This window comes from Homo sapiens, chromosome 1, assembly GCF_000001405.40.
Source record: "Homo sapiens chromosome 1, GRCh38.p14 Primary Assembly".
In the NCBI taxonomy this organism is placed as follows: Eukaryota; Metazoa; Chordata; class Mammalia; order Primates; family Hominidae; genus Homo; species Homo sapiens.
This window is the reverse complement of record NC_000001.11, coordinates 197,438,754-197,451,052: the sequence shown is the minus strand read 5'-3', so window position 1 is coordinate 197,451,052 and position 12,299 is coordinate 197,438,754. Positions and strand designations below refer to the sequence as shown.

Sequence of the window (12,299 nt, the reverse complement as noted above, 5' to 3'; positions counted from 1 at the left end):
CTTGCTTCCTCTTATGCTGACTTGAAATCTTCTTTCAATAAATTCTATCCCTTTGTCTTATTTATGCTTTCTTTTTTTTTTTTTTTTTTTTTTTTGGGACGGAGTCTCGCTGTCTTCCAGGCTGGAGTGCAGTGGCACGATCTCAGCTCACCGCAAGCTCCGCCCCCCGGGTTCACGCCATTCTCCTGCCTCAGCCTCCCAAGTAGCTGGGACTACAGGCGCTGGCCACCACGCCCAGCTAATTTTTTTTTTTTTTTTTTTTTTTTTTGTATTTTTAGTAGAGACGGGGTTTCACCATGTTAGCCAGGATGGTCTCGATCTCTTGACCTCGTGATCCGCCCACCTCGGCCTCCCAAAGTGCTGGGATTACAGGCATGAGCCACCGCGCCCGGCCTATGCTTTCTGTATTAATATAGAACAAATCTATTTTTCCATTCTCATGATAACGTTTCAAATATGTGAAGGCAGTTTCATGCTTTCCTTAAGTCTTCCCTTTCTAGACAAAATATCCGTTTATCCTTATAATGTTTACAAAAAAAACTAACTGTTGGGTTACTATGCTCACTACCTGGTGACAGGATCATTCATATGCCAAACTTCAGCATCACGCATCACACAATATACCTATGTAACAAACCTGCTAAAATAAGCTAAAATGCCCTTTTCTAGGCCCTGGCATTCATCAATGTTTTCCCCGGAATGTAGTGCCCAGAAGTAAAACCTGCGCTTCTGAATTGATGTGGTCAGTGCAGAAATCAGAAGGAAAACCATGTATCTTGTTCTGGGACCAAATACCTATGCGATTACAATCTCAGATTACCTTCTTAAAATTACAGTTTCCACTTCTGTGGACAAAGTAGCTTCTACTAGAGTAACCCTTCGGCATATAACAGCAATAAAATCCAGATGGAATAGCAAAAAACAACAATCTGAGGGCACTCAGATAATAACCAAAAGTATGCATCGACCTGTATGAGAATTTGAACTAAGCAGAGCGGAGGGCACTATGTGATTTTTATTTTTTTGGAGTGCAGTCTCTGCTCAGCACCATGCCAGTTAACTAAAACTAGGAGAGACGTTTGCAATCTTACAGGCTTGAAGAACCAGAGAAAAGAGGGTTCACCACAGCAGCTAGAAAGTGAAGGAAAAATTCTAGAAAGGAGACAGCTACAGAGGTGGAGCCTCAACTTCTGAAAATGATTTCTGCTCAAATCTCTGGTTCACCCTTGTAATATGCCCATGTAGCGTACACTCCAAGTCACCCAGCTAAAGACAAAATAACTGAGCAGAGATTGCAGCTGTGACACACCACAGAGGGCACTGCTACAGGACTAGAAGTTTGATTCAGCTAAGAGACTGCCTGCCAAAATAAAATAATATTTTTCTGGGCCAGGCGTGGTGGCTCACGCTTGTAATTCCAGCACTTTGGGAGGCCGAGGCGGGCGGATCACGAGGTCAGGAGATCGAGACCATCCTGGCTAACACGGTGAAATCCCGTCTCTACTAAAAATACAAAAAATTAGCCGGGCGTGGTGGCCGGCGCCTGTAATCCCACCTACTTGAGAGGCTGAGGCAGGAGAATGGCATGAACCCGGCAGGCGGAGCTTGCAGTGAGCCGAGATTGCGCCACTGCACTCCAGCCTGGGCGACAGTGCGAGACTCCATCTCAAAAATATAAAATAAAATAAAATAATAATAATATTTTTCTGAAAAACATAAAAGAATTCATTCATAATCTCTGCATTGTATAAGCTACAATGACCAGGATGCAATCCAAAATTACTGGATAAAGAAACAGAAAAATGAAACTTATATACAAAAGGAAATTCAATAAATGGTGACCAATCACAAAATGACCTAGGTGTTGGAATTAACTGAAAAGGATTTTAAAGCAGCTGTCATAACTATGATGTTACAACTAAGGGAAAATAAAAATGCACACTGACATAGTTGCTATTCTTTTGACATTGTTGTAAATACCACTATGAATTTGTATTCTTAAATAGCCTGCAGTTTCTCACTTAGCTATAAGTGTATCATGATAAATTTTATTCTAGCTACACTATGCATTTATCCTCATTAAAATAAAAATATTAAAATAAGGAAGCAATATAATTTCTTCTCAAGATCTCCATGTTACTGTAAAGTGATCATTCTTTTACAGACATTTGTAGAGCTGAGTTAGATATGTTAGATGGCCTCTGGCCTTGAGCAGTTTATTATTGGATGCTGTTTTTGTGTGTACATGCATAGATAATTACCAAATAATAAGCACTAGAAAAAGAAGTACAAAATAGCAAAAAAGTGCAGGAATAAAATAGTAAGCTTTTCCTGGGGCAATCAGGGAAAGGATCCTAGAAGAGTCTATACAAGATCTGAAATTTCTGGAAGGACAAAAGTATGTCAAACAGAGAAGAAGGGAATGACAGGTTAGGTGGGAGGAACAGCACGTAAGGGAAGAGCTGTGGCAGCTGTGAAAAGTTCAAAGGGAGGTGCAAAGTTTCATGTGGCTGGAGAGTGGAGTTTGTGAGAGCACAGGTAAGAAATGAAGTTGGAGACAGTTTGTGTCACATTTATAAAGGGCTTGAACCCAAATTGTATATGGAGACCAAATTTACACTATCCAGATGTTGTGGGAATCCCCAAACTAAGAGCACAAAAACAGGCACTAGACCAGTGGAACTCCTGGCATCCTAGCAAAAATCTAAAGCTAAGACTGTAGTCAGGGGCATTTACGCAACTCAGCACACAAAGACCCCCCAGGAAAAAGAAAAATCCTCTTAAAGTTGTTTTTGCTCATAAAAAAATAACAAACCACATGAAGAAAAACTCTGTTGTGAGTAAAATTCCCCAGAAACAAAAATAGGAGGGTGAGCACTCCAAGAGCTTGAAATAACACAACAGTCTGAAAGACACTATTAAATAAGTTCCTAATTATGTGAAAGTAAAATGAAGGTAGCAATTATAGAGAAAAAAAAACAGGACACAAACAGGAGAAAAGATTGATTTGTAAGATTTAAAAAAGTCAGAATTTTTTAAAGTAATTTAAAATTGAAAAATCTATCAGTGGATTATATGTGGACTATCAGTGCTTGGAAGATAGCAATAGGGAATATATGCAGAATACAGCACAGACAGTAAAAAAAGATACTGTGAGAGAAGGTTTGGCAGACAGACTTTTTTTTTTTTTTTTTTTTTTGAGACAGGTTCTTGCTCTGTTGCCCAGGCTGGAGTGCAGTGGTGCCATCATGGCTCATGGCAGCCTCGACTTCCCAGGCTCAGGTGATCTTCCCACCTAGCCTCAGCCTCCTTAGTAGCTGGGACTACAGGCACATGCCAAACTAATTTTTGTATTTTTTCTTTTCTTTTTTTTTGTCAGAAAGGGGATTTTACCATGCTTCCTAGCTGGCCTGGAAATCCTAGACTCAAGTGATCTTACTGCATAGGCCTCCCAAAATGCTGGGATTACAGATGTGAGCCACTGCAACCAGCTGGCAGACACCCTTTTAAGTGAACCCCCCATGGTTGGTCCCCACCTCCTGGTGTTTACACCTTGTGTGCCCCTCTCGCTTTCAGTGTAGATAGAACCTGTGACTTGTTCTTAACCAACAGACTATGACAAAGGTGAGGAGAAGTATGCGATTATATGTACACAATTGCATAATTATGTTATATAAAATGGTAACATCCATCTTGCTGGCATCTCTCCCTCCTTTTTTGGCTTTGAGGAAGTAAGCAACCATGTTGGGGAGCCCCAAGTGGCAAGGAGCTGAGGGCTGCCTTCAGGAATCGAAGGCTACCTCTGCCATCAGCCTCAGTGAACTTGATCACTGAGTTCACTCTGGAAGTGGATCCCTCCCTGGTTCAGCTCAGATGAGACCACATCTCTGGCTGACACCTTGAATGCTGTCTTGTGAGACCCTGAGCAGAGGACCTAGTTAAGCCATGCCTGGGCTCCTGAACACAGAAACTGTGAGATAATAAATGTGTGTTGTTTTAAGTTGCCAAGTTTGAAGTAATATTGTTGCAGAACAATAAATAAATAATACAAATGGATTACATATACAAAGAATGGAATATAACACTCAATAGATCTATAATATATATCCCAAATATATACACCCTGATATGCCTCTTGAACTCCAGAATGGAATATGCACACTGATTAATAACTGTATTTAGATATCCAACAGATCTTAAATTCATTCATTTATCCAATCAACAAAGATATTAAAAATATTATCCACCAAATTTAAGTTATCACCCCCTTAGACCCACAGCTTCTCCCAAAAAATCATGCTTCAAACTTTTAAAATCTATCTTCTCTACAACTATATATGGTAGTGCAAATTCTCCTTCTTTCTTTATCACTGCAGCAGCCTCCTAGCTGTGTCTTTCTGGGTCCAGTCTTGCCTTTCTTTTAAGCCATTCTCTATGTAGAAGCCCAAGTGATCTTTCTAAAGTGCAAGTATAATCATGACATTTTTCTTGTTTGAAACCCTTCAAGGATTCTCCATTTCTCTTATGATGAAAAACCAAGGCCTCTGCCAAGGTGTATAAGGGCTTACTCCTGCTTCTTTCGACAGCCCCATCTTTCAGCACTGCCACCCTGTGATATCCCTGTCACAGTGCACAACCTCTCCAGCCCCTTCTGCCTGAAACACACAGTACTGTGCCATTGCTTCTTCCACAGCCTAACTCCCTCAAGTCTTAGCTTAGGCTTCAGGAAACTTTCCTTGACCTTCTATACCCACCTGTAAGACTGGACAAAATGCCTCTCTTATATGCTCCCTTACAGCTGGCACTCAGTTACATCCTAGTTACATCCTAAGACTATTTGTTTAATCACATTTTTTTTTTTTTGAGACAAAGTCTCACTCTGTCACCCAGGCTGGAGTGTAATGGTGTGATCTCAGCTCACTGCAACCTCCACCTCCCGGGTTAAAGTGATTCTCCTTCCTCGGCCTCCTGAGTGGCTGGGATTACAGGCATGCGCCACCATGCCCAGCTAATTTTTGTATTTTTAGTATAGACAAGGTTTCACCATGTTTGTCAGGCTGATCTTGAACTCCTGACTGCAGGTCATCCACCCACCTCGGCTTCCCAAAGTGCTGGGATTACAGGTGTGAGCCACCACACCCAGTCTAACCCACATTCCTTACCATAACTTCAGCTTATTTTGAGCAAGCATTGTGTCTAAATCATAGTTCTATTCCCAGGACCTAGTATACAGTATGGCAAATAGTAGACATACATTAAACATTTGTTGAATAAGTACAAAAGCAGAGAAGTAAAATAGTTTATATTAGTAATAATACTGGCAGTTGAGAAACAGATTTCTTCACTGATTTCCTGCCTAACTCACTAAACTCAAATTTTATGCAGCACCATTTGCAGAAGAAGTTTAATTTTAATATTGCAAAATTAAAGCTTAACAGTTTCTATTTTTAAACCTACAAATGGCCAAAAGATATTTTAAGAAAATTTAGTGAAGAATTTGGAAGATAAAAAGATTTTGGTTGACCTTGTATTGAAAAAAGATAATTGAAAAGATAAAGTATTTAAAAAGGCTTATCACAGTTCCTGGCATAGAGTAAGTCCTCAGTGGTGTTAATTGAACTTAGTTGTCTCTCCTCCTCAAACACTGATTTTTCCAAATTTGCCTATTCTCTCTATTTTCCTATTTTGCAAAAGGGAGGGTGATAAAAACCCACTTGCCACGTACGCACACAAAAAAGGAGGCATGGCCAAACATAGAGACATAGCCCTGTTTAGTTTAATGTTAAATCTGAAAAACGCAGCAAAATGGAATTAGTTTTTATTCAAGTAAATATAGGCTATGTTTTAGAAGCTTGGTCCAGAGGAGTTAGTGTAAATTTCTGTCATTTAGGTAAAACAGCCCCTCTTTAGAACCAGGTTGAACTATGGCTAGCTTTGGCAGGGACAATGTAAACCAATAATAAGAACAATTAGGGTTGTAATCAACTTTAGAATGCCAACTAGAGGATTACTTGCCAGAGTACATGCAACTTTACTTGGATACCACAGTGTTTACTCACAGTGACACTTTCACAGAAAGAGATCACGATTCAGGAAGATCAGTACCAGTACTTCTGTGGTGTGTGTGTGTGTGTGTGTGTGTGTGTATGCATGGCTGGTGGAAATTTTATCATACAAGACATAGTCAAGGCAAACAAGTACAAGTACCATTAGAAGATGAGAAAGAGAAGATACAGAAACAAAGGTTTTATTTTTCTGTGCAAATATGTAAAAGCCATAGTCACACACATGCAGCTGGAAAATACAGAAGAATAAAAAGAAAAGGGAAAACATTTTTTAAAGTCAGATACCTTATGACAAGAAGACATTTGGAAAACAGAAAAGCAACTGACAATTACAGTGACAACAGAGGCATCAGAATTGTACACAGAAAGAAATTGTGAGTGAATATTTCTTAACCACATTTGGTAGAGAACATATTACATTTGGAACAGCCTGTAAGTACATAAGTACAGGTATGTCTAGAAGGGAGTAAATGTGAAAACTATACATATGGTCTGGCTATAATCTATTTTATGCTTATTGCAAATACTTGTGAATGTAAATATTGATGGGAAGGTTTTCCCCATGTCTTTTGTCACAAAATTTAACTTTGGAACAAATCATCTGAAGCAGCAGCATCACACGTTCAGCCTTGGATGTGAAGAAAATGGATGAGTAAGAAGGAAAATCTTCACAATTAGTTGCTCCCAGTTTGAAATGATTGTCACTACTCCAAAGGATATGAATTTGCTATATAAAAATTGTCTATTACTATTGCAAGATAGAATACACTTTCTTTGCTTTTGTAGTATATTACTTCATACTATATGCTACATGTACTCTATAACAAGGATATTATTTTGTCCTTGTTTGTTTGAATGGTATATTTAAATTTACCTTGGTCATTCTCACAAAAAAACAACTTTCTTAATTGGGACTAAATAGATGGCATCCAATGGATAAACTGTCCTCATGTTTTCAAACCAGGACAGCTCCTAAAGTCATAGACGTATATTTACAAAATGACATTTGGCAGGCCATTGTTATTTTAGTTGCTTTCTGAATTAATTCATAGGATCAAACTATTTTTCCTTTAAATGAACACAAATAACGTCTTCTTTGGAAGGGTATATCTACACAAAGATATTTAGCATAAATGATAACGTACTGGTGGAAACAATAAAAACATTAAGAAAGTTTTTTTAAATTATTATTTTATAATCTCTGAAATATTTATAATAAAGAATATATTAATTTTTGCATATCTTAGTATACTTTATAGATCCATTATTTCAGGTATACATTTATTTTAAAAAATCATAATGTCAAATATATTTTGGTTATGATGTATACTATGCTTTCATATTTTTTTCTGAAAGATACTTAAGAAAATAAATTTACTTGCAAATCTTAGAAAACCATGCTTCTAAGAAAATTCAAGTTTTACAATATATACTTTTAAATTTATGTATAAACTACAGTGCTTATTTTTATTAAATATTCATTGAAAAGCAACTGAAATTAGTCCATTTGATAGAAAAGTCAAGGAGCTCATAAATTTAGAAACAACAGAAAAATTGTTCTATTTGTTAGGAAAAGGGAAAGTATTGCAGGAAAGGAAATAGAGAAAGGATTATTTGTAACTTTGTTAGAGAGACAGTTTTATGGAATCAGAAATTATACCAGGGAGGTATAATTTGAGTACTGATACTAGATAATTGTTTTTCTACAATTTAGGGACTCGATGTAAATTCCTGATTTCTCTTTATATATTTAATCATATATCAGAGAAAACGTAACAATTCATTTGAATAGCTTCATGTAAAAACATAGATGAATATAATCAGTAATTTTAATCGGTAATTCTCTCTTTTTTTTTTTTTTTTTTTAGACAGAATCTCACCTGTCGCCCAGGCTGGAGTGCAGTGGCACAATCTTGGCTCATTGCAACGGCCGCCTCCTGGGTTCAAGCAAGTCTCCTGCTTCACCCTCCTGAGTAGCTGGGATTACAGGCATGTGCCACCACTCCCAGTTACTTTTGTATTTTTAGTAGAGACAGGTTTTCACCACGTTGGCTAGGCTGGTCTCAAACTCCTGGCCTCAGGTGTTCCGCCCACTTCAGCCTCCCATAGTGCTGGGATTATAGGAGTGAACCACCACACCTGGCCTGTAATTCTCAATTTTTGTGTCATAAATAATAGATAAGAATGAAAGAACAGAAATGAAAATAGAATCATAGTGATGGAGGGCAACTTAAAATGTGAAAATACCCAGAAATGGAGTGGGAAGAAATTGCAGTGGTCATTCACATATAGAAGTGTTGAGAATGATAATATGTTTGTACTAAATACACACAATAAGGAGATATTTCTAGTTATATTAAGAACACTTTTTTCATATTTAAAGTTAGAATAGGAAAATATTTTATACACAGACAAAGTGCTTCTGATATGTTTAAAATAAGCCTTGAATTTACCTTAATTATTGAGATGGTTTTTATTTCCTTTTTCTTCCCCAGAGATCTAAAATGAATCAAGGCATTTCTTGAAATTCAATGGCTTTTTTTTTCATTTGGGAATGTTCAAATGTATGTTAATAATCTTCCTGTTCACCCCACTCAACAACTGGCTCGTCATTCATACGCAAAATGAGGTAAGAAAGAAGCTGAAAAAGATTCTGCCAGAATAAGAGAGAGACATAAAAGGAGAGGCTGCTTACGTCCACCTCGCAGCGCTCGCCAGCAAAGGCAACATCACAGAGGCACTGGAATTTGTTGAGTAAGTCCTGGCACAGACCTCCATTGACACACGGATCAGAGGCACACTCATCAATGTCCTTTTCACACCTTCAAAATAAACAGAACAGCAGAAACCCAGGTCCCTGTTGAATACATTGGTTGTGAAATGGGAAGAAAAAGTTTGCCTTATCTCTCTGGAACAGCACAGTCTTATCTACCCATCCACACATACTTTATACATACTTGATAATGTCGGAGATGTTTCTTAAAATTTCTTTAACACATTTGGGGTTTAATGGAAATAATCTGTACACATATATATACATATACACACGGAATTAATTAGAATGAGAAAATAGATGCAAATATTTAGAAACCAAGAGAAAAGTGGGCCATGCCTACACCAGTGTCAATGCTCAAGAGCATTAGTGTGGTTGCCACCTTATATAAATGTTCAGTTTATTAGGGGCACAAGGAGAGAGGCTGTATTTTGCCATCTGGAGTCTGCAGGGCAGACCTACATTCAGGCTATCAGGATCCTCATGCATCAGAGCCCTCAGGCTAAGGAAAAAGCCCACCAAAGAGAAACCAAAAAAAAAAAAAAAAAAAAAAAAGAAGGAGGGAAGGAGGAGGAGGAGGAAGAGGAGAGGTTTATTCTGAGAGATTTTGAATTATTTTCTGTGGAAATCCTTTTTTTATAACAAAAGCAAAAATCAATAATTAGAAGATTGTACTTGCTAATAAATCTGTGTTCCAATAGCCAAGCATAATTTCTGAAATGTTGAGGTAGAATGACTTTCAAAAGCCAAATTTTCCAAGACAAGTGACATCAAGTCTCAGGTAAATTGAAGTTTTCTTCTTCCTGGGATATTGTCATTTTTTTAAACTAATTTTCCAGCAAGAATTTGTTTTTCTGTATATTCATGGATTAAGTCACCAATCATGTATTCAGTCACACAGTGGATATTTATTTAACACATACTATGTGACAAACACTCTGCTAAGACCTTGGGATAGAACAGCAACTAAGGCGGCTATTTTACTTTTGAAAATTTATATAAAATCTTAGCTCCAAGATCTCTATAGTGCAGCTTATAATGTTGAAATTGTATGTAAACAATTTTTAATTTTCCCTTATTCTTTCCCTCACCTTCCAAAATGTAAAACTTGCACGTATGGGTCAGAGACTAATCACTAGGCTCAAAATGAAAGGGGGTGAGGTAGTGGGGCAAGGCCAGCCCAAGGTATAAAGGAAAACAAAGATTTCTTCCAAGAAAAACAGCTCCTTATCCCTTTGGATACCAAGCATAGCTGAGACATTTTGTTTTCCTTTTTTGGCTTATGCTTCTGGACTGGAGGGAGACTTCTCTGATTAGATCTGAGCAAAACTTGACAACCCTCAGGAGCCTGCCAAGCATTCTCGGTCTTGGGTGGGCCAGAGTGTTCACACCATCCATCATTCAAAACCTGCCAGGATGACACTATTAAGCTGAAGGTTTAACCAAGGCAGGAGAGAAGCCAATTTATTTGAGGATAGCTTTTCAATATCCTTGGATGTGATGGAAGTCACATTTCCCTAGGCCATGGGAGATAGCCCACTATTTTCTGTCTTCCTCTAACTACTCCATCACTTTCTCACCTATTTCTCTGTTGAACTAAACAGTCAACAATAGATACACATGTATTATCAGCATCATTGGCATTTTTATTAGAGGTTAATTAATGCATGAAAAGTAAAAATAAATCCATTAACATCTAGTCAATTAAGTAATGATGGTTAAGGACTTTGAAAGCATAGAATCTACTGAACACAGGTTCAATGTTTTAGAAATATCTAGCATCATGTAAGTTTTTCCAGTTGAAAAGTCTCCTGGGAAAAGAAGGAAAACTCTAAGCTTTCTTTTCTTTCTATATTTCAAATATATCTGAATTTAAATGTCAAATATAAATTTTGTAAACTAATAAATATCAGAAGACAGGGAGATATTTGTTGTAAATAGAAACAATGTGTGAGTGGCAGAGAAAAATAATCCAGGGTTTTGGATGAGTTCCATGCATTGTGCCATTAGGCAGAAAGTGTGACGTTCAACCAGGAAGCAACCCACCCTTGACAATAGTTGGATTACTCAAAATTAATGACAAGAAAATATTTGCAATATTTTGAAAGATACATGGAATTGGAATACAACTAAACGATCTCAGTTAATAAGTTGCAGAACCAAAATTGGTGCAACAGAAAGCAGAATGTGACTCAAGGCTATCTCCTTTCATGCACATATAGACTTGGAATGCCTGTACCACAAAGAACCAACCACAGAAGGCAGGCTGCAAATGAAAATGAACGTTAAAAGGGTCAAATTCAGGTATACCCTAGACTCCCCGCTGTTTTGTAAAAATGGCAAAAGACCTGTGTCTTTGTGATGCAAAAGAGGCCAGCTAGAAAACAGAAAATTCCAATTAATCCAAAGGGCACTTGCCAGGGAGCACTCACATATCCATTATTTTATTAACTATGCTTATGGGAAATATTGAGTCAGTCAAAATATCTTTGTCAAATATGTCTGAGCTCAGTTTATTTAATTTTTTCAATGTAGGAAGTTTGATCAGAGATCACTTATCTTACCCTCGATGATACATGAGATGGAAGAACACCTTTCTCATTAAAAAAAAAGAAATTGTGTTGAGCAAAGATTTATTCATACAGTTATGCTGGCACATCAAATAGAAGAGCAGAGGCTTTGAAGGCAGCTCAACCTTACTGCAGCAAACGTGTGGATAGGCCCTTTATACGTCACTCAACCTCTCAGCCTCAGTTTACACATATGCAAAATAAAAATCATGAAACCTTCTTTACAGAGCTATAAGAATTAGAGATGGTATTTGTAAGGTGCATGGCACAGTGCTAAAACAAAAGGTTAACAATTATCTGCTTATATAGTATCTGTATTCTATAGAGCCCCAGTTCATAACTGTTTTGGGGACATAAATCCCTTTAAGCAGCTGATAAAAGCTATTCAGTATGCATTATTTCTACCCCTGAACTTACCCCTAGCCACTCAAATACATATTCTAATTTTCCTGTATTTTCAGCAGGTCACAGATTGCCTGAAGCCATTGACCAACTCCATTTTAAGAATTCCTGTATGAGGTGAAGAACAGTTGAAGAGTTTCTCTGGGAAAAGTAGACTCATATGGATAAGGTATATATACTTTTGGGTTGTAGGCAATTCTATGAGGCAATCTTTTAGTTGTAATTTATTTTACCTCGACAGCAACCATATTTGCATCATGTATTAGAGTTAGCAACAAAAAAGAGACATGAATTCAGAAGTACTTATAAGAAAGAAAAATAGCACATTATACATTTTTTAAAAATCATTTTTCCCTATTTGAAGTTTTGTCTAATAAAATGTTCTCCCCTTTGACCTAAACTGTAGTTTTTCTTCTTTTTTATTGTTTCATTCTGTCTGAACCTCTATTTCAGCATAGATTTTCCTATGGGAACTGAGATAAAAAATTA

General features: G+C 37.3%; 1 protein-coding gene across 14 annotated transcripts in view; it reads right to left on the bottom strand.

The window, feature by feature from the left end:
• CRB1 (crumbs cell polarity complex component 1) overlaps positions 1-12,299 on the bottom strand; it is a 276,952-nt gene that overhangs the window by 27,403 nt on the left and 237,250 nt on the right. For 10 of the 14 annotated variants that reach the window (NR_047563.2, NM_001257965.2, XM_047416573.1 and 7 more), the window contains one exon: positions 8,761-8,887. The exons of 2 other annotated variants lie outside the window; for them this stretch is intronic. Coding sequence is in view for 10 of the 12 variants with exons in the window: in NM_001257965.2 (NP_001244894.1) it covers positions 8,761-8,887 (127 nt within the window). In the remaining 2 variants the exon portion in view is untranslated. Of the gene's footprint in view, positions 1-8,174; positions 8,888-12,299 lie in introns of those variants that run through there. 2 more of the 14 variants (XM_011509365.3, NR_047564.2) reach the window with 2 other exon arrangements.